This window comes from Homo sapiens, chromosome 2 (assembly GCF_000001405.40).
Source record: "Homo sapiens chromosome 2, GRCh38.p14 Primary Assembly".
Taxonomy (NCBI): Eukaryota; Metazoa; Chordata; class Mammalia; order Primates; family Hominidae; genus Homo; species Homo sapiens.
The window spans coordinates 130,742,914-130,769,413 of record NC_000002.12 but is presented as its reverse complement, the minus strand read 5'-3'; the positions used below and the strand labels follow the sequence as shown (position 1 = coordinate 130,769,413).

At 50.6% G+C, this 26,500-nt stretch overlaps 1 protein-coding gene and 1 long non-coding RNA gene across 6 annotated transcripts, besides 2 other annotated features; one reads left to right on the top strand and one right to left on the bottom strand.

Moving 5' to 3' along the window:
- Positions 1-1,279: 1,279 nt before the first annotated feature.
- Positions 1,280-13,874, bottom strand: AMER3 (APC membrane recruitment protein 3). 5 transcript variants are annotated; one of them, NM_001105193.2, is made up of 2 exons: positions 13,609-13,874; positions 1,280-7,360 (listed from the first exon to the last, which is right to left on the bottom strand). In NM_001105193.2, exon 2 carries the CDS (start codon positions 7,339-7,341, stop codon positions 4,756-4,758), a length of 2,586 nt encoding a protein of 861 aa, NP_001098663.1. In that variant the 5' UTR covers positions 7,342-7,360; positions 13,609-13,874; the 3' UTR covers positions 1,280-4,755. The 5 variants fall into 5 exon arrangements, with proteins under 5 accessions (NP_001098663.1, NP_689911.2, XP_011509095.1 ...); NM_152698.3 differs by having other exon boundaries at positions 13,740-13,874; XM_011510793.3 differs by having other exon boundaries at positions 1,280-7,357; positions 13,740-13,874.
- Positions 12,217-12,720: an enhancer, noted in NCBI's record as "H3K4me1 hESC enhancer chr2:131514267-131514770 (GRCh37/hg19 assembly coordinates)". NCBI's record gives its function as "activates a minimal SCP1, AML or CMV promoter by ChIP-STARR-seq in naive H9 embryonic stem cells {active_cell/tissue: H9 hESC(naive)}" and the evidence as "EXISTENCE:reporter gene assay evidence [ECO:0000049][PMID:30033119]".
- Positions 13,532-26,500, top strand: LOC124907890 (uncharacterized). The gene is made up of 2 exons (XR_007087239.1): positions 13,532-13,731; positions 25,368-26,500. It is a non-coding gene; the product is annotated as an uncharacterized LOC124907890 (long non-coding RNA).
- Positions 13,599-14,098: an enhancer, noted in NCBI's record as "H3K4me1 hESC enhancer chr2:131512889-131513388 (GRCh37/hg19 assembly coordinates)". NCBI's record gives its function as "activates a minimal SCP1, AML or CMV promoter by ChIP-STARR-seq in naive H9 embryonic stem cells {active_cell/tissue: H9 hESC(naive)}" and the evidence as "EXISTENCE:reporter gene assay evidence [ECO:0000049][PMID:30033119]".

The window sequence follows — 26,500 nt, the reverse complement described above, 5'->3', positions numbered from 1 at the left end:
CTTACAAAACTCAGTGTTCCGTCATTGCCTGGAGCAGCTCTCATTCTGTTTTGTAGAATGGAGGCTGCCGCATTCACCAATCACAAATAAAAGCCAATTAGATCTGTAATGAAATTTGTTGCAACTTTGTCTTCTGTCAGAGTGGATTAATTTTGTAACAACAGAGGGCTGAGGAAGGAAGGATGGAGATTCGACTTTCACTGTTTCCCTGCTGTGCCTTCTGAGTTTTGTATCCTGTGTATTTATTCCCATTCCAGAAAATAAAATAAAATAGGAAACCAAGAAAGACATGAAGCATCCTGGGATGTGGTCTGCAGTCTCTCCCTGCCTGTGCTGGCCTTCGCCCCTTCTCTTCTTCAGCGCTTCCTGCCCGTCCTCCCTGTCCTCTTCCCTCTCTCCCTCCTGGCCCTACCCAATGTTCCCAGCTTCCCAGCACAACGTGGCAGTGGCAGGTTGGAAGCCCCAGTGCACGGCCCCTGGGCAAACCCCTTTTCCACAACCTGTGGGACTCTGGGAGCCTGGGCGAGCCACTCAAGCTCTGTGGGACAGCTGTGAGCTTAGGGCAACTGGACTGACTTCTCAGGATTTTATTTCACGTGGGGAAATCTGCTGTCACCTCTACAGCCATCCATGTGTGGATGAGAGGGCTGGAAATGACCAGGGAGGTCTGAACATGCCCAGCCAGCCTCTTCTGCTCCCGGCACTGGGCTAGGCACGTGTCCCGGGAGCTGGGCTTGAAGTTCCCTTCTTTATCCACAGTGGGTCACCCTGAGGCCTGCAGGGAAAAACAGGCTGAGGGTGGGGTGCAGACAGAGAGAGATCACCCTGAGGGAGCTCACGCTGCCCCCTCCATCCCCCAGCAGGGTGCCTAGCAGGCCACTCCTGGGACCCCAGGCCCAGATGCTGAATTCGAATCTGGGGTTCTGAGGTTGTCTATAGTGCCCCCAAGTGGAGAGCCGAGGCCAGTGGGTCCTCCCAGGAGGCATGGCCCTGCAGCCGGGTCACTGTAGACCACGCCTCCACATGGCCCGGGTCCTGGGCACCCTTTGCTCCTCTCTGGACCCTAGGCCCTCCTGACCACTCCCTGACCGCCTGGATTCCTGCCCTTCCCAGCGCCGTTGGGCCTGGCTGGGCTCTCCATCACCACGAGTCACCGCATCACAGCATGGCACAAGGGAGTGTTCTGTCTCTGCCAGCGGGGAGGCGGCTGGCACTCAGGCCAGAGTCGCCCTCCAGACACAAGGCTTATGGTCAACAAGAAATCAGAAAAGCACGCACAACCTTTTGACACTTCATTCTTTCAACAAGGATTTACAGAGCGGCTACTCCCTCAGGTGCAGCACAAAGCCCCAGGCTGGGGTTGAGTCAGGGCAGCCTCCCCCTGGGTGCTCAGCCTGCTGGAGGGCCACTTGTGGCTGGCACCCAAGGGTGCTCTGACATCTGGAGCCTGAAAGCAGGAAGGGCTGAGGGCTCTGAGGGGGGACTTCACTGCAGGAGCTCAGTGAGAGGTTCTGGAGCTTGAGGAAGAGCAGGGCCTTTGGAGCTGGGACGGGACAAAACCCATCACCTCACACACTAATAACTGTGGGCAAGTCACACCAGCACCCTGTGCCTCCGTGTCCAGGTCTGAAAAATGGGGCTGACAACTGCATTGAGGTTGATGCAAGGATCAGGTAAGCGAATCTGGTGAAACTTGCCCCCAGCTCGGCTCAGTGATGCTGCTGTGGTCCTGTGTGTGAGTCTTGGGAGGAGGGCTCAGATGTGGCTCCACAGGGGCTCCAGATCTGGACGGGCCTGGTCAGAAGCCTTGCTGCACACTTTGGAACCTGTGATGTGCAGCCTGTGTCCTGCTTGCAGCAGGCCTCAGGGAGCCCTGGTGAGAGAGGGCCACCGGAGACCAAGCGTCAGGCAGTCAGGAGAGGCACTGACCAGCGTCCCCTGGTGGGAGGGCCACCCTCAGCTACAGATCCTGTGCTGCCTTCTTCTCGAGCCAGGACAGCACAACTCACGCTCCTCTTGGTGGGAGCTCTGCATGAGATGGGATTTCCCTAGCACTTTGCCTGCGACCTGACTGACCCCTTTTCCTGTGCTGATCTTTCCTCCAGAAACCCATTTCATGGCTGCCTGTGGAGCCCAATCCTGGCATCTTGCTGAGGTGTGCTGGTTGAGGTAGAAGCTAATCTTGGAGAATGTGGATGGCCCATCTGTCCCTGCACCTGCTGGCCTGACACTGGCCCAGGACGGACACCTGTCCCTCCTACAGACACCAGCCACCTTCTCCCTTCATGGTTCTGAATGTCGGGGTGCTGCACATGTGTTGTGACATTTTGGGGAGTGAGGTCCACAGCCCCATTCGAAGTTTTCCTGAAGGGGAATGGCGATCTGACAGCGTGGAGGGAGTGGAGTCAAAAGCCTTTGTTACTTGCAGGCAGAGCCGAGGAGAATCCATTGGCTTCTTCCCAAAAAGCATTTGGCCATCCATGGCTCTAGTTAGAGAGTGCAAGCGGAGGGAAATCATTGTTTGTAGGGGATGATTCGTGACAAATAATCTAGCACTGCCCATCAACAAGGGTGGGAGGGTCCCGCCAGCCCTGGCAGGGCGCACAGGGATGCATGATGCTGGCTGGCTCACTCCTGTCATCCAGCACTGTGGGAGGCTGAGATTTTGAGACATTTTAGTTGAGGAGATTTTGAGACATTTTAGCTGAGGCAACATGGCGAAAACCCGTCTCTACAAAAAAATAGAAAAATTAGCCAGGCAAGGTGGCGCACGCCTGTAGTCCCAGCTACTTGGGAGGCTGAGGTGGGAGGACTGCTTGAGCCCAGGAGGTAGAGGCTGCAGTGAGCCAAGACTGTGCCACTGCACTCCCATTCCCACCTGGGCAACAAAGTGAGACCCTGTCTCAAAAAAAAAAAAAAAAAAAAAAAAAGCAGCAGCAGATGCTGGTGCCATGCCTCTACACCTGCAGAATTACAAGCCAAATAAACTTCTTTACTTTATAAATGATCTGGTCACAGTTATCCTTTATAGCAACACAAAACAGTAATACAATGTTCCTGAGGGGACGCCCTTCAGGCCCTCAGCATGTTGTAGCCACCTGTCCTGGGGCAGCGAGTAGGCCAGACTGGGGCCAGATTGAGGCCGGTTCAGTGGGCCCTCCTAAGGTCGGCTCCCCCACCCGTCTCCCACCCTGAGCCTCACAGTCCTCACACAAGTTTGGATCATTATTCTAAAAGACATAATCCCAAACACTGGTCCCCAACATTGAAATACTGAAAGACGCAAATCTCTAAAGTTTCAAATCCCTAACATCTAAAGTCTTAAAAATCACAATCCCGGGATAGTTGCATCATGTTAGGTGGAGCTACTGCCTTGCTTGGGGCTTTATTTGGAGACTGAAAATGGTTTAAGGGGATGCGGATGGATGCCAAGTTGACAAGGGGTGGACCTGTGGACTTCATTTTGGGTGTGAACTCGACTGGGTTAAGGGATACCTAGAGACCTGGGAGATCATTATTCTGGGCATGTCTGTGAGGTGTTTCCAGAGATTAGTGTGTGAATCTGAGGGGCCTAGGTGTGGAAGATCCACCCTCAATGTTGGTGGGCAGCATTCAATCTGCTGAGGCCCAGGGAGAACAAATAAAGAAGGCAAACTGGTCTCTCTCTCAGAGCTGGGACAGGCTTTTCTTCCACTGCCTTGACATCAGAGCTTCAGGCTCGCTGGCCTTTGGACTCTGGAACTTACACCCATGGCCCTCCTGGGTCCTGAGGCTTTCGTCCTGAGCCACCCTGCCGGCATCCCAGGTTGACTGTGTGTGTAAGCATTGTGCGTGTGTATAAAAACGTCAAAACTTCCTCAATAAATGAAGAGATGTAATTTTTGTACATCTGCAATTGTGAGAGATGAAAGTTCTTGCCATCTCCGCTCTTTGGGCAACTGTGTGTGTGGTGGTGACGCATCATAGATTGACTTCGTCAAAAGACTTAGGTTGTTGGTCATGATATGACTGCAAGTATAAAGCGAGGTGCACACAATTACCAAGCATAGTGACATGCATGTATACATTTCCCATTTTGACCTATTTCTTCATGAATATAGTTTGTCTGCTAATAACTCACACCGGTGTAACTGTCTGTATACCTGTTTATGCTTCCAAAAATATGTATTATTGCCTATTTTATTGTGTGAAGTGGCTGATGTGTTCTGTTGTGTTTTTATGTTTCTCAAATAAATCCTTTTAAAATGTAAGTATCTTTTAAAAAATTAAAAAAAAATTTTCCCAGAATTATATTTCCAGGATTTAGATCTTTTGGGATTGTGATTTTCGGATTTTAGAGTATAGTAATTTTAATATTTTGGATTCTCAACACTTGGGACTATGGCATTTGGGATTGCGTCTTTTGGGATTCACACACATCCCAGGCAGACTCATTGGCTCTCTGCTTCCCATTTACAATGTGCAGCTCTTTCTCCCCCTCAGTTTCAAGCCCTAGCCCCTCTCTCCAGCCCCTGCATGAGGAGCAGCTAGGTGGTTGCAGCTTCGCGCTGTCTTTGGCGGTGGGCTGCCTGAGCTGGTGGGTTCAGGCAAGGATGCCTCCACATGAACATGCTACCCTCTGCATGCCTGAGTCCTGCCACCCCCCACCCCCAACACAGTCCCCACATCAGGGACAAAAGATAGAGATTTGAGTCCTAGGCTCTCCTGAAAGTGGTCATGAAGACACATGCAGTTCCTGGTGCATGTGAGCCTGTCCTACAGATGGGGCTCAGCCATGGCTGGCCCAGAGGCCCCCACTTCTGGCTGGCCACAGAGGAGGCCCTCACGGGCCAGGAGGCTGCAGCGGCATTCTGGGGCACTTGCAGAGACCCCCCCTTCCTGCTGGCTGTTCAAAGTGAGGCCCAGGCTTTCTGGATGGTGGCCCTGGGAACTCCACCGGGCAGCAGGGGCTGAGCGGGGCTCAGAGTCCAGCTGGCTGCCGTGTGCCACCTGCTCCACAGCCTCTGTGCTGAGCTGCAAGGGCTGGTCCTCCACAGAGGCCCAGGCCTGGACACCTAGCCCGGTGGGCTCCACCCTGAGCCAGCTCAGGTCCTGGACACGATCTCGACACCTCTGGTCCTGTGTGCTGGCTGAGTAGGGTAGGCCATGGATGGTGGTCATGCTGGGGGAGCTGCTGGACTGTTTCTGCTCCAGCATGTCAGGGCCCCTGGCCCAGCGCTGCCCAAAGAGCCCACTGCCCATGTCTTGCCTTGGAGGCCATGCGGCCGGGGGCTGTTCGTTTGAGCTGATCTTCAGGGCTGCCACACGGGCCACACAGCCTGCCAGCATGGGCTCTGCATCCAGAGTGTCACCTCCGTGACCTGGCCTCCAGGGGCCTCGGAAACACCCCAGGACCCCTGGTGGCCCAGGCTCCTTCTGGGAGCAGGGCCAGGTAGAAGGAACTGGGGCCTTATTTTTACCGGAAGTATCTGTTGTCGAAGTGGCTGCAGACTCCATAGAGGAGAACAAGCCTTCAGAGTGACCTCGTGTCTCTTCCTCTCGAGAGGCATCCCTGGACAGTGTGCCAGTCCCTTGTGTGGCCCCTCCGAGGGCCTTGCTCTCTCCGGCGAGCAGGCCTGTGGTGCCCGGGTGTGCCCACAGCTCCTGCCTGCTGGGTGCTGAGCAAACTGTCGCCCCCCCTGCATCTGAGGCCAGGCCCTCCCTGCCCCCCAGCTTCTCTGTGGGTGCCCTAGGGGCTCCCTGGGAACCAGGTGGAGCTGCAGGCTGCCCAGGGGTGGGTGGGGCACGGGGCGTGGGGCCTCGGCGCAGCCAGCTGACGATGCCCATGGTGATGGCGAGCTCAGTGTCACACAGCTTCAGCAGGCACTCCTTGCCCTTCCAGGAGCTCTGTAGGAAGCCCTGGCTGAGCAGGTCAGGGCCTGGTGCTGGGGCCAAGTTCTCCTCGGCCCCCACTCGGAAGCTGCATATGGACAGTGGCGTCCCCAGGGCCGGCCCTGACAGACTCTCAGACACGCACAGGTCATCATCTGGGCTGGGGCCAAGAGGACCCTCGCTGGGGTCGTGGAAGAGCTCGTAGAGGGCGTCCCCACTGTAGCTGTCCCGTGGGAAGGTGGCGGCAGGAGTGCCTGGGCTCTCAGCTTCCTTCTTGTCCTCCTCAAGTCCTGGCGAGAAGGAATCATAGTAGCCCTCGTCACTTGTGGACACGGATTCGGGCTGCTCGCTCTTGGGGGTGCCTGTGTCGATGGAGCTGGCTTTGGAGCCGCTGCGAGGGTCCCTGCAGGGGCAGAGGGGCAGCTCAGCGAGCCCAGCTGTGTCCAGCCGGGATTGGTCCCTGTCTGTCCCCTGGGGGCCTGAAAGCCACGGGCCTAGGAGGGCACGCTGCTGCTGACGCACTGAGCGATTCACACTGTCCCAGAACCTGGTGAAGTCAGAGGCTTCATTCTGGGCGGGCGAGGCCAGCTGCTCCACACTGCCCTGGAGAGGGCCCCTGGGAACCTTGCTCTCCAGGCCCTGAGCAGCCTGGGTTGGGCTCTCCGGGCCCTCGTTCAGCTCCAGAGATGGCACCGAGCTCTCATCTGCGAACACCTCCCCACAACCCGTGAGCGAGTCGAAGCTCTGGAGTGAGGCCACGTCCTCACACAGGGCCCTGCAGAGACCAAAGGATGCATCGGCCAGGAGCTCGCTGTCCAACAGGTCCTGGCACAGGCCGTCCAGCCCCGGCCCCTCACCCGGGGGGAGGAAGGCTTTGCTTCGCCGCCCCCCAGGGTCTGACGGGTCCCCTGGGGAGGGCAGGCTTTTCCCCTCGGCCGCCAGCGAGGCCAAGTCCTCAGTCTTGTTTCTCCGAATGTGGAATAGGTTCCGAAAGCACTTCTTGGGCCTCTTCAGGGAAATCCTCTTCCTCGGGATGCTCTTGGCCACAGCTGGCACAAAGGGCATCTGGGGCACAAAGTGGCGGTAGTCGATCATGCGCCGGCTGCCCGGGGAGCCCGGGAAGCTTGCACTGCCCACCAGCTGCCCTGTGGCAGCCGTGGCCCTGCCTGCCCCAGACATGCTGTCGTGAGTCTTGCACTTTCGCACCGGTTTGAAGGTGGCTCCACAGAGGGCTGCGGGTCCCCCTTTGGGGTCCAGCTGCGCCCCTTTGTTGGGGCATCTGTCGTATTCTTGGGCACTGGGGCTGGCTTGGGGGCCCTTCTCACTGTGGGGCCTCTGTTGCCCTCCTGGAAGGACTGACCAGGGGCCTGTCCCCTCCCTGGCTGCAGCCACGGCTGCTGGGTCTGGGGGTTTCTCGTGGGAAACCTGCAGGCTGGACTTGATGAAGGTCTTTCCTCTCTTCAGCTCCATGCTGCCAGTGCCCCAGCTGCTGTGGAGGAAAGCAGGAGGCACTCAGTATCATAGACGGGAGGGCCCTGGGCTCTGGAAGACCCTGCCTACCCCTCTCACACAGCTCACTCTCTGCAGGGGCCTCTGTCCCAGGAGATCCTCCTTGCAGGTGGGGGAGAAAGATGGGAGCAGCCCTAACAGCACACAGTAGGAGCCAAAATGAGAGCTGCCTGGGGCCTGGTGACTGCTGCACCCATGAGTGCTTGACTCTCCCAATCCCCCTTTTAGCTCATTTGGCCCATTCAGACTCCGTGTTCTGTGTAGAGTGCCCAGCGTTCTACAAACAGCTCCTTAGTGTATCCGTAGCAGGTCCTTAGGAGTGGGTGTCATGGCCCTTCTGAGTGGATGGGCGGAGGATCCAATTAGGGCAGTGGCCTCCTTCATCAGGCAGCTAAAGGGACACCCACACCTGCCTGCTTCCTGGGCTGAAGGCAGCTGGCCCTCAGCTGGGGCTATGGGGGTGTGCATATTGCAGACTCCAGGACTGTGTGCCTGTGCAGGGAGGCAAGACTCTATCTACAGATGCCATCAGGCAAGACACAGCCCAGAACTTCATGGTGCAAGAGCATGGACACAGAGGAACCAGAGCATCGTGGTGGGAGGTGAGCATGGGACACAGGGTGGGCAGGCAGAGCTGCAAGGGTAGGCAGCCACCACCTTTTGTGCACACATCACCGAGGCATACTGATGCCTGCAGTGCCATGCAGAGAAGGTTTCTGATGCCTGGTCTGAGTTCAATGGGAAAGGGTCCTGGGATCTGCCCTGGGCATGGAGGTGGACAGATGGCAGCAGTGCTAGCCAATTGACTGTCCCGGCCCAGTTAGGGCATCCGGCCCTACACTGAGATCAGTGGGGAGCTACAGCCATCTTCCTGTGGGTGGGTAGGAGCAGGGACTTTAATGAAGTTGGCGGTCTAGGGCCACGCACCTGACCTCCGAGTGGAGGACAGAAAAAATGAATTGTGAGCAGAGAGGACTTGCCAGAGGCAGTCCCAATGGACTGAGGATGGGGAGCAAGGCAGATGGCGGCTGCAGGGGTAATGTAGGGTCTTCCAAAGGGAAGAATGCCAGGGCTCACCGACAGCAGGGATAGAGAAGCAGGCAGGGAGTTCTGAAGGCCAAGGCTTGGATCTACACCAACAGCGTGGGACAGCTCGAGGAGGGAAATGAGCGAAGGAGGAGGGAGCTGAGCCAAGGTGAAAGAAGAGCTAGGGTTTAGTTTTTAAACATGCTGCCTTGGGGTGTGTTGTGGAGACCTTCAGTACCCAGGAAGAGAGGGCAGACTGAGTCCCTCCCCTCTGTTCCCCTCACCATGTCCTCAGGCCCTGGACTCAGCCTGCTCCTATCACCCAAAATACCTCTGTCTGCCAGGGTCTCCACCTTTCTTGGTAGTGAGTGGCCTGACAGTCAGTACTCTGTCAGTCTGGCCAGGAAGAGACTGCGGCTGGCTCCTTCGCCTCTCCATAAGGACTACACGGAGGCAACCCTGCACTCATCCCCCAGCTCCTGGCTGTGAGGAAGCCTGCAGCAGGCATGAACATGACCTGGGGCTCCATCAGCCGGTGTGCCTTTCACACCCCACCCCAAGTAAGCTTTGCAGCTACCTGCCAGAGACCCTGAAATGCTTCTTCATGAGGACCCAGGGGGGCGAGGGACTGCCTCATAGCCCAGTGGGCACGTTGAGGCCAAGAAAATGGGAAGGGGTGGAAGAGCTGACACTGCAGGGGCTGGCAGGGGCAAGCTGACCAGGCTCCACCCGCTCCCACCCAAGGGAAGTGCTTCCTCGGAAGCACCTCAGACTTTTGGTTGGAGGATGAGAAGAAGTAGGCACCATGCCAGGAGAGCCACAGAACCTGGGCTGGGCTCCAGCTGCAGCTCAGCTGTTGCTAGTGGCACCCTGGACAGAGGGAGACTGCCCTGAGCAGCCACACTGGCTTTTCTGCCTCATGCCAGATGGTGTATGCCTAAGTCTTTCCCACCCTGCACCTGCAGACTTTCTACTCTGCACAATCCTTTGCAGCCGTGATAAGGCCTCCGAAGCTCTGCTGGGCTTTGCTGCACACAGCACAGGGCTTACTCTCCAAGCTGTGGCTCAGATGACCCTGGCTGGAGTCTTGGTTACACCCACCTAACCAGGCAGACAGCTTGGCCCATAACTGTATGAGGGGCAAACTACTGTAACCCCCATTTTACAAAGGATAAATTCAGATTCAGAAAAGTCAATGAACTGACCCAAGTCACACAGGTGTTAAGTGACAGAGTTGGGATCTGAACCCAGGTCTATCTGATTCTGAACCTGACAGTCTATAAACCGACAGCTCAGACTCTTTTGTGGGAAATCTAAAAGTAGAATAATAAATGTGTTTTCATGAAAAATATTGTAAAACACAATGAAAGTGAAGATTAAAAGCAAGAAGGGTAGCTCACACAGATTTAGAAAAATTATAATTGAAGGTAATAATAATTCCTATGGCAGGAAATTTTGGAAATATTCATTATGAGATCTCTATTTCCCTTATTCTTTTCTATGTTTTGGAAAAATCTTTTGATTGACATTCTGTTGGATATAACTTCAGCCAGGCACAGCAAGGATTATTTCACCTTGTGCAGAATTTTGCAACTGCAAGAACAAAAATGTTTTATTTGATATAGATGTCTATAAATAAAACTACCAGTTTCTCAGTTCTCATAACAGTCAACTGATTTAAAATCATGAACAGTTGGAAATTTCACTCCACTCTGAACTTGAAAAATGATCCTTTAAAATAACTGTCATTGCTATAGATGGCTGGACTCAGTGACACTAACAATGCCAAGCCCATCTCCTGAGTTTATTGAGCACTTTGCATAGAGACAGGACAATAAGTGTAGGATACAGAATGAGGAACCAGAGGCTTAGCAATACTGGAGCATCCCATGAACTCTAGTCTGTGTTCGGTCCAGTCCAAATCCATATTAAAATGTTTTATCGGAACCTGTCTCTTTGGAAATGTGTGACCTATGATGGGGGTGGGAACTCCCTGGGTGGTTGGAGGGCCCACTGCCTGGCTGGAGGCAGACTGAGAAGTCAACTTCTGTGACAATTCTCTGGGGCAGAATGGGATTTATGTGGACAGCCAGATGCTGGCCTTGTCACTGCCTGAGGGCAGAGGCCAAATGTGTCCAGGTTCTCAGTTGCAAAAATGCACACTGTTTTGTAACCCTGTGGCTATAGACCCGTCAGTGGAACCCCAGCAAGAAACATGACAGGTCCACTCCCACAAGTGCCACATCCCTCCCCCAAGGAGGGTTCAGACCCGTCCCTACCCTTCGGGTGCCTTCTTGTCTGCAGGGCTCAGCAACCACCAACTATTCATTCTGGTGCTTGATTGCACTCCCCAACGAGATTGAAAATTCTTTAAGGTCCAGGACTCCAACTATAGTAGGCGGTGAGCTATTACTTAGTTAAATGAACTATTTTATATTTGAGATATCTTAGTCAAATGTTTACACCTAAGTTCCCTAAACAGGATGCAGAGTCTGAGATTTTAATTCTGTGATACAGTTTATGTGGATCATTTTCTTCTCTCCTTCCTTCCTTCCTTCTTTCCTTCCTTCCCTCCCTCCTTCTTTCTTTCTCCTTCCTTCCTTCCTTCCTTTCCTTTCTCTCTCTCTCTCTTTCCTTCTTTCCTTCTTTCTTTTCTCCCTCTGTTGCCCAGGCTTGAGTGCAGTGGTGTGATCAAGGCTCACTGCAACCTCCGTCTCCTGGGTTCAAGCGATTCCCCTGCTTCAGCCTCCTGAATAGCTGGGACTACAGGCACGCACCACCACGCCCAGTTAATTTTTTTTTTCTTAATTTTAGTAGAGATGGGGTTTCATCATGTTGGCCAGGATGGTGGGTTTTTTGTTTTGTTTTGTTTTTTTGATGGAATCTCGCTCTGTCGCCCAGGCTGGAGTGCAGTGGCGTGATCTTGGCTCACTGCAAGCTCCACCTCGCGGGTTCACACCATTCTCCTGCCTCAGCCTCCTGAGTAGCTGGGACTACAGGCACCCGCCACCATGCCCGGCTAATTTTTTTTGTACTTTTAGTAGAGACGGGGTTTCACCGTGTTAGCCAGGATGGTCTTGATCTCTTGACCTTGTGATCCTCCCACCTAGGCCTCCCAAAGTACCAGGATTACAGGCGTAAGCCACCGCTCCCGGCCTATGTGCATCATTTTTTAAGACAGCATTGACACCAGGACCCTGGGCTGAGTCTTTCATCTCTAAGACGAACTTGCAAGTTCCATGGGAACAGGGACCACACAATGTATTTACTTAATTAATTCTGTTACAGGGATGTGATATTTAAACCAAACTTAAAAGACAGAAGAGGACAGCCAGGCAAAAGACATTGGACACATATTCCAGGCAGAGAGAACACCCTTCAGAAAGGCCCCGAGGAGCAAGAGAAGTAGAATATTTAAGGATCTGAAAGCAGCTCAAGTGACCAGAGCAGCAAGCCAGAGGGATGAGGCCTGGAGATGGGCTGTACACACCACACCCGGCCTGAGGTCTCAGCGAGGGCCGTGCTTTTATCTGCAAGCCACAGGGAGCCAACCTTCCAGGGCAAGTGACGGGCCAATTCTCACTTTCAAAGATGCAGGTGAAAATGGACAGCGGAGACACAGAGGCGAGTTAGGAGCCCAAGCAGGGTTTAGGGGAGAGAAGGTGGTGGCAGAGACTCCTCTGTCTGTGCACCTCCCATCACAGTGTTTTACACGGCACACACAGACATGGATTTATTGCAAATTGGGCAAATGAAGTTATTCTACTGGTTGCTTTTCTACATGACCAACTCAGGCTTAGCTGCCCAGCTTTTTCTTTTTCCTTTGAGAAGGTAATTCCGTGGCTTTTTTTTTCCTTTCTTAACCTGAAAGTGTCCCGGTGTTTGATTTCATGGAGCAAAATAAAAACCCTGGAGGAATACACATGCCACAGAAACGCCTTGAGACAAAAAAACGTTTGGCTAATAGTTTTGGTATTTTCTATGCCTTCCCCGGTATGCAGGAAAGTCACAGCAGTGTGATACAAAGGAGTGTATGGTGATAAAAAAGCGCAGGCCCAGGGACCTCTGGAAACTGGGCTGGCGGTAGAGCTATGGGGCAATAGCGTTCTCAGTAGTAGGCTGCCTTGTCATGGGAGGGCTGGAGTGAGGGCCACTGTGCGGAGGGAAAGCGACCGTGCTCTGGGGTGGGGGTGGGAATGGGGAATAAAACAGAAATAGAATCTGCGGTGAGAGCACCACCAAGCCACCCAACCCCCACACTGGGGAGACAAAGGGCCCTCTGGGGAGGGAAGGTCCTGGCCCACCTCCTTGGAGGGCGCCTCTGGGCGGTCCTGGCCTGCCCAGGGGCAAGGAGATGGGCCTCACAGCGATATTGGCTCTCCCTCAGCTCCTGCATCCGCCGGCGGAGGGTTTCTCCGCTTCCCTAGCCCAGACCTAAAAGGGTCACCGCTCCCAGGCCCCTGACTGCGCCGGGAACCGCTGGGTGGAGGGTGTCGACCCTGCTTCCTGCCCTCAGCCCGTCCATCGCGCCAGAGAATGCACCAAATTCCCCAATCCTTGCCCTCCCCGGGGGTCCACATCCGCGGGGCAGGACCAACGCAGCCTCTCGGGGCCTTGGCGACTTACCGCTGGGGGCCCGCAGTGCAGCAGGGCGCGGCCGCGACAGGCTCGGGCACCGCGTCGGAGCGCGAGCCGCGCTCAGCACCACGGTCAGCTCCCGGCGCCGCGCGCCGCGGCCGGGAGGGGGAGGCCCGGCGCCCGCACCCACCCACCGCGGCTCCAGGGGCCCCGCGGGGTCGGGCAGGCGAGGGTTAAGCCGCCAGAGGCCAGCGGGAGGGGCGGGCCGGCGCTGGCGCGCAGGGGTGGCGAGGGGGCGCGCCGGCCGCGGTGGGGGCTGCTCCGCCAGGCTGCCGCCTCCCTGCGCCGCCGCTCGGGCCGCGCTCGAGCCGGCTTTGTCTGTTCGTATCGCCCCGTCTCTGTTTCTGGGTGTCTCTGCCTCCCACCCGGTTGCGGCTGCGCCTCCCTCAGGTGCAGTCGTCTCCCCTCGCCCCCGTGCGCACGGCGCCCCCGCCGCTGTCCCCTCTTCCGGGAGCGCACAGGTGTGGGAGCCCCTCCCCCTCAGCCCAGAGAGCCAGCCCAGCCCTGCCGACCGCAGCACTCTCGGAAGGGCTCGGCCACCCGGAGCCTCGTCACGAGTCTTACCCAGGGTTCGGAGCGGGCCTGCAAGAAGGGGCAGGCCAGGCTGGGGCTGCAAGGCAGGGTCTTCCCTTGGAGAAGGGACCTGACTCTATTATTAAGAGAACGAAAGAGGCACTTGCCCTACAGGTACTCACTGTGTGGGGTCTACTGGTGCTGTGCTCTGCCGCAGTCTTGAGGGAGGAGCAGAAATGCTGTGGGGACTCTGTCTCCGCAGAACTGAGGACGAGGGGTCTGCACGCGTGGTTCAGTGCCTGGGGCTGGGGTGGATTAAGTAACTCCAGGAAGGCTCAGGCAGCAGTGCCAGTAGTGTGGGGCGGGGTTGTGGGGAGGAGGGGGGAGCGGGAGCGCACAGTCGGTGCTGGGGAGAGGCTGATGCCAACAGGAGGCTCTCGGCCGTGGTGTGCCCAGGCGGGGCAGGACGGGAGGATGCAGGAGTCCCGGGTCCACGCTGAGGCTAAGGCTGAAGGGAAGGCAGAGCTCAGGTGGATGACGGAGGCCAGGCCTTTCCCTGAGCTTGGTGGGCTCCCTCCCGGTCACCTTGTCTGAGAACCCAGGACACAGAGTCCCCTTGCTTTGGACTGGTTTGGTTTGTCATTCCCCTTGACATCGCCTCGCCCCAGAGACAAGAGGCCCCTTCATCCTCCAGCCAAGACCTTCCCCACCCTTGGGTGACCTACCCTCTTGCATTTTTTAGATTTGAGCCCTCTTTCTATGCAGCGACTAACTCAACGTGACCCCAGAGGCCCCCTCGCCCATGTTGCTGGTAGTCTTGACCTTTTTTGGCAGATCCTGGCTGTGGGAGTTCCCTGTCTTTCTCTTAGGTAGGACAGAAGGCAGTTTCTGCCTCGTTGCCACATACACCCCAAGTCAGGGGTAGGACTCCCGCAGACCCCACAGTCCTCCTCTTGTTAAAATTAGTAAGCATTAGCCTTCCTTATTAGGCTCTCCCCGCTTTTGCATTTAAGGATTTTTTAATGTGTCTTATAAAATCATGTAATTGTGAGGATAATTACAGATTCAGCTTCTTCCAGTGAGTGACAATTGCTCATTTTCGATGCTCACATGGTCATCGTTCGGCCACTGCAAACTGTTCCAACCCTTCTACTTTGTCATTTCAGACAGTTTTCAAACACCCCTAACTTTTGGGTAACATGAAAATATATATTTCAAATTTTTTATTTCCCCAAGATGTGGGATCAGGTCTTCCCCAGGGACTCCTGGAAAAATCTTTTACACTAGGCTACCCAGTTCAGATACCACTGAATGATTTTTCTTAAATATTATTCTAATGTGAACTTACATTTTATTTTTACAATACACTGACTTACACGCCTGTAATCCCAGCACTTTGGGAGGTCCAGACGGGCGGATCACAAGGTCAGGAGATCAAGACCATCCTGGCTAACATGGCAAAACCCCCTCTCTACTAAAAGTACAAAAAAAATTAGCCAGGCATGGTGGTGGGCGCCTGTAGTCCCAGCTACTCAGGAGGCTGAGGCAGGAGAATGGCGTGAACCCAGGAGGTGGAGCTTGCAGTGAGCCGAGATTGTGCCACTGCACTCCAGCCTGGGTGACAGAGCGAGACTCTGTCTCAAAAAAAAAAAAAAAACAAACAAAAAAACACACACAAAACACTGACTTAGATTTCTCATCTGTGTTTTTGAGCAGTGGCTGTAAACCTTTTCTTTCCTGGAACTAGCTTTCTGGTCACTTGGTTGTCCCCAGGGTCTCAGACCTTCTGGCCACACCACCCCTTGCTTTCTTGGCAGGCCAAAGAGTTGACTGTGGGCACAAATGAGTCGGCCATCCACTGTGCCAGTCACGTCAGCTGCATTTGTGGGGTACCATCAGACCTACTGCTTTGAGCTGTTTCTTTTTCTTTTAAAATTTTCAATATTTAAAAACTTTTTTATTTCATATTTCCAAACAGTGAACAGTTGGTTTCTTTTTCTTAAAAAAATTTTTATCTTATTTTTTGAGATGGAGTTTCACTCTTCTTGCCCAGGCTGGAGTTCAATGGTGTGATCTTGGCTCACTGCAACCTCCACCTCCCGGGTTCAAGTGATTCTCCTGCCTCAGCCTCCTGAGTAGCTGGGATTACAGGCATGCAGCACCACGCCTGGCTAATTTTGTATTTTTAGTAAAGACAGGGTTTCTCCATGTTGGTCAGGCTGGCCTCAAACTCCCAATCTCAGGTGATCTGCCCTCCTCGCCTCCCAAAGTGCTGGGATTACAGGCGTGAGCCACCACGCCCGGCCGGTTTCTTTTTCTTTATTGTGGTAAAATATACATAATATGAAATTTACCATTTACCCCTTTTTAAGTGTACAGTTCAGTGGCATTTACACTCACACTGTTGTGCAACCATCACCACAGTCTATTGCCAAAACACGTTCCTGACCCCAACAGAAATTCTGTACCCATTAAGCACTAAAACTCCATTCTCCTCTCCCCGTAGCTGCTGGGAACCACTATTCTACTTTTCTCTGATTTTGACCACTCTAGGTACCTCATAGAAGTGGAATCATACAGTATCTGTCTTTTTGTGGCTGGCTTATTTCACTTAGCATAATGTTTTGAGGGTGTATCCGTGTTGCAGCATGTATCAGAATATCCTTCCTTTTTAAGAGTGGATATTATTCCATTGTGTGTAGAGACCACATTTTGTTTATCCATTCATCTGTCAATGGACCGTTTGGGTTGCACCACCTTTGGCTATTGTGAATAATGCTATTATAAGCAGCAATGTACAAATACCTGTTTAGGTTCCTGCTTTTGGTTCTTTGGAATATAAACCACAGAAGTGCCATATTGGAGTCATAATGGTTTCTATGTTTAATTTTCTGAGGAACTATCATACTGTTCTCCACTGTGTACAATTTGACATCCCACCAGCAATGTAGAGCATTTTTCCATATCCTCGCCAACATGTTGTTTTCTGTGTGTTTTTGTTTGTTTGTTATTTGTTTATAAATAGTAGCCATCCATTAGGATGGCTGTGAAGTCGTATATCATTGTGGTTTTGATTTGTATTTTCCTAATGATTAGTGATATTGAGCATCTTTTCATATGCTTATTGGCCATTTGTATATATTCTTTGGAGAAGTATCTATTCAAGTCCTTTCTCCATTTTTAATTAGATTGTTTGTCTTTATTGTTGAGTTCTAGGAGTTGTTTATATATTCTGGATGTTAATCCCCTACCCAGTAGATGATTTGCAAATATTTTTTCTCATTCTGTGGATTGCCTTGTCACTCTTGATGAGTGGTTTTCATTAATTTTGATAAAGTCCAGGTTATTTATTTTGTGTATTATTTCTTGAACTTTTGGTGTCATATCAAATAAATCATTGCAAAATCCAATGTCACAAAGATTTTCTAGGTTTTCTTGTAAAAGTTTTATACTTTTAGCTCTTCGATCAATTTTTAGTTAATTTTTGTATATGGCAGAAGGTAAGAGTCCAGTTTCATTTTTTGATGTGACTATTCAGTTTTCCCAGCATAATTTGTTGAAAAGACTGTCCTTTCTCCATTGAATGGTCTTGGCATCCTTGTTGAAAATCATTTGACTAAATACCTGAGGATTTGTTTCTGGGCTCTCTATCCTATTTTATCGGTCTGTATGTCTGTCTTTGTACCACACTGTTTCGATTACTGTAGCTTTGTCCCAGTCTACTTTTGTAAGCATTCAAACCCATTTATTTATTTATTTATTTATTTATTTATTTATTTAAGATGGAGTCTCGCTCTGTCACCCAGGCTGGAGTGCAGTGGTGCAGTCTCGGCTCACTGCCAGCTCCGCCTCCCTGTTTCACGCCATTCTCCTGCCTCAGCCTCCCGAGTAGCTGGGATTACAGGTGCCCGCCACTTGTATTTTTAGTAGAGATGGGGTTTTCACTGAGTTAGCCAAGATGATCTCGAGCTCTTGACCTCGTGATCCGCCTGCCTCGGCCTCCCAAAGTGCTGGGATTACAGGTGTGAGCCACTGCACCGGGCCCTAACCCTTTTATTTTAAAATTTTATGTGGAGGTTCTCTGGCTTAGCTATGTTTCTTGTTTTTATCACTCTTATTAACAACCATGCCCTTAAACACTGGGAAAAAAATAATGAAATACAGTTTATTTGGCACAATCTCATTTAACCTATAAAAGTGCTTGGGGGCCAGGTGCGGTGGCTCACACCTGTAATCCCAGCACTTTGGGAGGCTGAGGGCGGGTGGATCACCTGAGGTCAGGAGTTCGAGACCAGCCTGACCAATATGGTGAAACCCTGTCTCTACTAAAAACACAAAAATTACCCGGGTGTGGTGGCATGCACCTGTAATTCCAGCTACTCAGGAGGCTGAGACCGGAGAGTTGCTTGAACCTGGGAGGTGGAGGTTGCAGCAAGCTGATCGCGCCATTGCACTCCAGCCTGGTCAACAAGAGCAAAACTCTGTCTTAAAAAAAAGGCTTGGGTTAGCAAAATGATAGGTTCTGAAACTGGTTGGACCTGGGGGTTGTCTACTCCAACAAGGGTGGGGGAGGGGCCTGAAAGAGCCCCTGGCCAACGAGCATAGATTCCCAACCCCACCCACACTTGGCATCCACAAGTATAAACTGTTTCCTGTCACCAAGAGAACTCACACAAACTCCTGCCTCTCCCTAATCCCTCCATCAAAACATTTGGCTCTGTTGGCCCATTTTTCCAGGATTTTATCATATTCTGTATTTCTCTGATGTCATCCCTGTGTCTATCCATCCATCCATTCATGCATCCATCCACATCCAACAAGTATTTATTTGGTGACTATGACATCCGAGGCACTGTACTTGGCATTGGGAATAAATCAGATAAAAAGCTCTGCTTTCAAGGGGCTTAGATTTTGATTGAGGGAGATGGACAATAAGTAAAATAAATGTATGGTAAGTTGGTTATAAGCAAGATGGTTGGTTAGTTATGGAGAAAAATAAGGTCGCTAAGAGGCTGGGAAACCATTAGACACAAAACCTTGAGGATGCTTATGATGGCCTTGCTTATAATGCAGTCTAAAACAGAATATAGCTTTCTGGCCCCCAAACTGATAATGGTTAAATAAGTTTTGGTTACATCCATATAGTGGGGAATTATGCAGCCATTGAAAATACGTTGGACACCATATTTTTTAACCTGGGAAATGAAATGATATTCATGAAATGTTTCTAAATAAATGGCAGCATAGAAGAATACATATAATCTTGTTTTAATTCTGTAAAATAAATATATTTAACAAAACAACTTGAAAATGTATACTAAAATATTTAAAAGATTGTATTCAGGTGGTGGAATTATAGCGGCCTTGTGATTTTTTTCTAAGTTTTTATAAACCAACATGGTTAATATAAAAAACCTAAAAACACATGTACAGTACACACACACACACACACACACACACACACACACACACACAGAATCATATGCTATATAATAATGGCATTTTGGTCAATGACAGACTTAGTCCCATAAGATTATAATGGAGCTGAAAAATTCCTATCTCCTGATGGCTAGGAGGTATAATATACCCTCCCCCTTCCTGAAAGCGCAAATGCCTTCACATACATTAACTTCCTTCCAGCCCTTCCCGACGTATTCCATGTAGTTTTTACCTATGATTTTAATTACAATTTGCTTTTCTCTACTCTCATAATTGCTGTAATAATTGTCACGATCATTGTCATCTGCTTCTGCTTTGGGTCAAATGACTGCTCTTCTTTCTTCTCAACAGTGTTGTGTGCATAGTGGATGTGCAGCCAGCATTGGCTCATGTGTGAAGGAGCATACACTCCTGGAAAGTCTGAGCATGTCCATACGCATCATCTCACTGGGCCCCTGCAGCTCACTGAAAGAAGAGGCAGACGCCTGCCCCAACTGCCCAGAGCCCTACTGGCTGAGCGGATCCCTAATGTCCTTAGTTAAGCTCTCACCCTGCATGACTGTTTTCCTCAGAAGAAGGCACTAGTGGGGACACCTTTTCCTGGGGTCTCTATGCAGGGAATGGGCTGGATGTGTACAGACCTGGCCACCATGCCTTTGGGGGCTGGTGTCACGGCCAGGCCATGACTCTAAAGAATGAGGGGGGCTGGGTGAGGTGGCTCACGCCTGTAATCCCGGCACTTTGGGAGGCCTAGGCAAGTGATCCACTTTAAAAGTCAACTTTAAAGTGATTAAAGTGATCCAGTTTAAAGGTCAAGAGTTCGAGACCAGCCTGGCCAACATGGTGAAACCCCGTCTCTACTAAAAATACAAAAAATTAGCTGGGTGTGGTGTCACATGCCTGTAGTCCCAACGACTCGGGAGGCTGAGACAGGAGAACTGCTTGAATCCGGAAGGCGGAGGTTGCAGTGAGCCGAGATCATGCCGCTGCACTCAAGCCTGGGCAACAACAGCAATACTCTGTCAAAAAAAAAAAAAAAGAAAAAAAGACTGAGGTGGAAGGAGGGCTTCCTTAGGAAAAGTGGCCTGCTGAGAGGATGAGGGGTGCAGAACGCCACTGTGCTAGAGCCTGTCCTGTTTGGATTCCCCCAGAAGCCGGCCGTGATGATGTGGGTGCTTACTAGTTTGGGATGTGATGGCAGGAAGCGCTAGCAGTGAGTGGGGCTGAGGCAGCGGATGGGGACACTATTAGGCCATTTGCTCCTATCAGGGGTGGCCTTCAGTCTCCCTGTGAGGCTCCAAGAGGCTATCTAGAGCATTCCTGAGTTATCCACACCTGGGGAAAGGAAGTTGGGCCATATATTTAACATTCATCATGGGCCGAGGGCTGCTTTCAGAGGCTGTAAGTGTCACGCACTCCTGGCCTATCCTGAGAATGAACTGAGGATGCTGCAATGCCCAGAAAAAGGTCTTAGGAGAGACCCCTAACAACGTGAAAGGTCACTGGGTGGTTTGCTCGTCTTCTGAAAAATACATACCTGTCATCGGTTATTTGCTGATCTTTTGTAAATGGTTGATCTTTTCTTTCTGTTGCTTCCAACTTCCCTGGTAACATGTCTATTGCAGATTTCTTTTTATTTATCCCTTTTTAGGGCCAACTGCCTCCTGGATCTGAGGCTTAGCACCTTCAAATAATTGTAGAATATCTCAGGCTTTATCTCTTCAAATTTTGCTTTTTCTTCATTTCCCTATTATTCCTTCTTGGAATCTAGTTATGTTAAATCTTCTCAATCTCCCTTCCATGACTCTCCCTCTTCAAAATATATTTTTAAATCTTTTTGATTTATTGTTTGGTTGGATTCTGCATAATTTCTTCAGATATATCTTATATTTCCTCAGTTATTTTTTTGTGGCAGCTTTTCTGCTGTCCATTGAGTTTTTAACTTCAATTACTATATAATTCATTTTTAGAAGGGTTGTTCGTCTATCTGTTCCCCCTTCAAGTCTGCCTGTTAATTTTTATAGTGTCTTTTTAATTGTTCATATTTCTAAGTCTCTCTTTTATTTCTTTAAACCCTTTAAACTTACTTCACATTCTGTGTCTGATCCGAAGTCTGGGTCTGATTCTGCCTTTTCTCTTGGTTCTCTGTCATATTATTTCCTTGTGAGTTTTGACATTTTTTTCACAGTAAGCTGACCAATTTCCTTGAACTTTATCTGTTGGAATTTCTTGAAGCTTTATGACTTCCTTCATTTGAATTCATTTCTTCTAGTCTTCTAGGGGCTCTACCCATCTGGCATCACTTTTTAAATTTAAAATTTATCCACTGGGCGCAGTGGCTCACGCCTGTAATCCCAGCACTTTGGGAGGCCGAGGCAGGAGGATCACCTGAGGTCAGGAGTTTGAGACCAGCCTGGTCAACATGGTGAAACCCCATGTCTACTACAAATACAAAAAGTAGCTGGGCCTGGTGGTGCATGCCTGTAATCCCAGCTACTCAGGAGGCTAGGGCAGGAGGATCGCTTGAGCCTGGGAGGCAGAGGTTGTAGTGAGCTGAGATCGTGCCATTGCACTCCAGCCTGGGCAACAAGAACGAAACTCCGTCTAAAAAAAAAAAAAATCAAATTATGATTGAGGGTTTTTTCTGCTTTGGGGTGCAAATCCACACAGTGACTGACTTACGCTCATGAAGTCTCAGCTGAGTTTCTCCTCCAGCCACTGTTCAACACAGGAAGGTGCCTTTGCGGACTCCTTCAATTCCCAAGGCTTACGTCCTGTTTCACACTTAGGTTCTGCTAAGGTTTGAATGTTTGTGTTCCCTCTCAAATTCCTCTTGAAATGATATAATCTCCAGCGCAACAGTATGGAGAGGTGGGTCCCTGGGGAGATGATTAGGTCGTGAGGGCCCCTTCACTGTGGGTGGGAAGATGGCCTTTATCAAGGAGGCCTCCCTCAGCATGTGACCCCCTTTGTCATTCTGTCCTTTTGGCTGTGTGAGGACACGGAGAGACTGGGTCCTCACCAGACATCATACCTGCTGGTGCCCTCATTTTAGACTTCTGAGCCTCCAGAACTGTGAGAAATAAATTTCTATTCCATATACCTTGCCCAGGCTGTGGTTTGTTGCTCTAGCAGCGAGAATGATCTAAGACAGTCTTCCAGCTCTCTGCCAATGCCTCCTCCCAGACTTCTCACTCTGGGACCCTGTGTCCCCTCTCCAAGCCCCTCTCAGTGGTTAGACCTTGAGGTTTTGCAGATGCCCTTAGGGCAAAACTGATAATGACTTTCCAGGAATCCATGTTTCTCTTCATTTTTGGTCTTGATAGATGACTTATTTAAGGTGCATTTTCAATATTGAATCTTGCTATGTAAACTATTTTCAAGAGGAGGGTGGCTTAAAGTGTTTGCTGCCATCTCTCAGAGATGGGGGGGATGCACACTTGCTTTTCCCAGAACCTCTTTCCTCGCTCACAGTCAGCTCTCAGGAGCAGCACTGCACGTCAGGCTGAACAGAAATGAGCTCCCGATACCACATCCAGTGCTGTAGTTCGGCTATGATCACTTCCTTTTGTCAGGGTTATTTTAAAATTTTAGTTTAGGCTCAGCTGAACTATAGGAATCCAAGGGACCCTTCTATGGTCCAGCAGGTCTTTAAGATTAAGGATGAGCAGATTCTCTTCAGTTAGGCCAAAAAACAAAACAACAACCAAAACCTCAGTCTTTTTTATACATGTGTAGAGGTATCTATCTTGGGTCACTAGAGAAACACAAATTAAAAACGTGAGGGGCCAGATGCGGTAGCTCATGCCTGTAATCCTAGCTTTTGTTTGGGAGGCTGAGGCGGGTAGATCACTTGAGGTCACGAGTTCGAGACCAGCCTGGCCAACATGGTGAAACCCTGTCTCTACTAAAAATACAAAAATTAGCCGGGCATATATCTGTGGCTGCTCAAACTCTTCAACAACTCTGTAAATAAACTATATTTCTCACATGGTCAAACGCATTCCTCATCTATCAATTTCTTTCACTTCTTCTTTGTGAATATCTCCTCCCTGGCACTGCCTCTCCTACTCCTGTGGGACCAGCTGCACAGCCCCAGCCCAAGGATTTCTTTTCACCACCTGGGGGATTCTGGCTGCTTTCCTGGAATGGGTCATTTTCCTACTTCTTGGCTAATTCACTGGTTTTGCTGTAATCTGTATTCTAGTATCTTCCTTAGGTAAATTTTTTGAGACTTTGTATATCTGAGATTATTCTACTCTTAGATTTGACTGAGTGCTAAATTCTAGGCTGGGAATAACTTTCCCTCAGAATTATAAAGGAATTGATCTTCTTTCTTCCATTAAAAATATATATATATATATATCTGTCACCTATTTGCCCCATTTCTCTCTGGAAACTTTTAGCATTATTCCTGCTGTTCTGAAATGTGCTGGTAATATAACTTGGTGGGATTTTTTTTTTCCATTTATTATGCTGAAAACTCAGTGGGCTCTTTAAATCTGAAAACCAAACTTTGGGAAATTTTCTTTCTTTTTTTTTTTTTTTTTTTGAGACGGAGTCTCGCTCTATCGCCCAGGCCGGACTGCGGACTGCAGTGGCGCAATCTCGGCTCACTGCAAGCTCCGCTTCCCGGGTTCACGCCATTCTCCTGCCTCAGCCTCCCGAGTAGCTGGGACTACAGGCGCCCGCCACCGCGCCCGGCTAATTTTTTGTATTTTTAGTAGAGACGGGGTTTCACCTTGTTAGCCAGGATGGTCTCGATCTCCTGACCTCATGATCCACCCGCCTCGGCCTCCCAAAGTGCTGGGATTACAGGCGTGAGCCACCGCGCCCGGCCGGGAAATTTTCTTGAATATCTTTGTAATTCCTTTCCTCTTCTTTCCTTCTGAACTCCTAGTATTTATAAGTTGGACTTCCTGGGTTGATCCTTTGATTTTATTATTTTCTCTACTTCCTAATAGATTTTCTCAAATTCATGTTCCTATTCTATTTGAGCTTTTCATTTCTCGCGCATAATTTTTTATTTCTAAGAGCTCCTGGCAGATGTTAGAAGTGTTCTGGGGCCCCGGTTGTTCCTTTTCTCAGAGCCCCTCTTCCTGGAGTCCCGGATTCCCTATTTCCTATAATTTCCTTTCTGTAGAGTCCAGTTTCCTTTTGCCCTTGCATTGCATTTTTCCTCTGTGTTCCATCCTCTCTTGTGTTTGCTTTGATCTGTGCATTTCGCTTTGGAGGCTTCCCCCATGGATGGTGGGTGAGGAGCCCTGCGGGGGCGCCACTGGTGGTGTGTGCAGCCCGTTGCTTGCTGACACCCCCACACACTCAGAGTCTGGGCCCACTCAGCTTCTCTGGAGACGGATCCTCAGGTTCATGCCCTTTGGGATGAAGCCTCAGCTCCTGGCAGCCTGGAGAGCGGACTGGGCCCTGGCCTCACCCCCGCCCCAGCTAAGCCTCTCGGGAAGGGCGGTGGGCCTGCTGCTCCCCGGCCGCCCTAGGCTAAGTGCTCTTCTCCTCTCAGTCTCCATGCTGGCCTGCTGGCCTCGGGAGGAAAAACAGACCGCTCAGTCAGCTCAGCTCAATAGATTCTGCGAGAGCACATCACTGTCTCAAGTGTCCTTTGACTCCTGCCAGCCATGGCACCTCTGGAGCAATCCCAGACACTGTCTTATCTCTGCCTGTGTTTGATCAAGCGCACAACCATCTGCTGCTCCGTAGGGCTCTGGCGACAGGACAGCCATGGGGGGTTGTCAGGGAAGCACAAAGAGCTCTCAGAGGACTTTGGCCCCTGGAGCCAGTCAAGGGAGGGATTGTTTCTCCTGCCTCTGCACCTTCCAAGGGAACACCTTTTCCCTGGAAGGGATCCTGGGCCCCTGCCACCTATGCCAAGGTGGAGGGGAAGCCGCGTCTGTGCTGGGGAGTCAGTAGGTGGTGGCATGCGCAGGTCGTCCTTCCTGCAGAGTTGCTTGCTGCAGCCTTGCCTCTTGCCTGCCGCGTCTGGGCCTGGGCTCCCTGGATTGCTCCTGGACTTTGTTCATGAGTGCTTTTCAGGGTTCTTTCCATCCTTTTATGAAACTCCTAAAATACACTATATATTCTAGGATTTTTGCGTGTTTGTGAAGTTTTCAGAAACTGCATCAGAATTAAGCAATTAACTGTGGAAATGACTTTAAATAGTCTTAGTTAAAGACACAGTTGACAAGGAAATTTGGTTATTTCTGTGGTCTGCAATAACAACATAACCATAATTATGATTGATAGCATATACTCAGGCATATTAGAATTTTAGAAATCCCATAGAATTTTGGATCATATGTTAACATTTACTAAAATATAACCTGAAGAAGGTTAAACATTATTTTTTATGTCAACAGTGTGTAGAGCATGGCCTCTCTCCTGGAATGGCATCTTATACATATAACCCATTGGAGCCAAGAGTTTTACCTTTACATGCAACTACATTTTCAGAGATTGATTTGACTTCCTCTTCAGATGTTTTTTCTATTCAAGAGGTAAAACATAGGGATATTTGGACTCTCAGAACAGCGGTCTGGATTTTCCTCTTTGACCTTTGCTTACATGGGGTTCCTCAGAAAGCAGAGTCTCAGATAAAATATATATGCTATATCTTTTGAAGAACGCAGTTCCAGGGAAGCAGGAGAAAAGAAAAGGAGAATGAGTCAGACAAGCAAGGAAAGCGACCGGAATTGTGCCCCAAAGAGCTGGCGGCTGCGTGGTAGGACATGCATACTGTGTTTAAGCTCCCATTTCACCTTTCATTTTCTGAAAGACCTGTGAACTGCCGCATCTCACAGGGGAAGAACCCACAGAACATTAACATCTCCATTTCCAGGCTGCAGAGGTACCAAGCCAGTGGATCCTCCCGCCCCCATGTCTCTCACAAAGCTGCTTGTAGCCCAGTGGGGACCAGCAGGCGTCCAAGGACCCTGGGGAGCCGTGGTGGCAGCTAGGCTGTGTCTCCTGCAGGCCTCTCTGAAACTGCCTGGCTGGCTCATGCCCTCTCATTCTGTCCAGTCATTGACGGTGGCTACACTGCATTGATCTGGGAACACAATGTCATTTCTTCCCTGACGGCGAAGAGACAAATCCAGCAAGCCACAGAGCCCCTGTCACGGAGTGGAAAGCGATGGTCTCTGAAGAGAATCAACAAGGGGAGTTAAAAAAAGCAGAACCAGGCTGGGCACGGTAGCTCACACCTGTAATCCCAGCACTTTGAGAGGTCGAGGTGGGCGGATCTCCTGTGCTCCAAAGTTTGGGACCAGACTGGGCAACACAGGGAGACCCCATCTCTACTAAAAATAATAAAAAATACATTCGTGGGACATAGTGCATGCCTGTGGTCCCAGCTACTCAGGAGCCTGAGATGGGAGGATCGCTTGAGCCCAGGAGGTCGGGGCTTCAGTGAGCCATGATCATGCCACTGCACTCCAGCCTGGGCCACAGAGCCAGATCCTGTCATTAACAAATAAATAAATAAATAAATAAA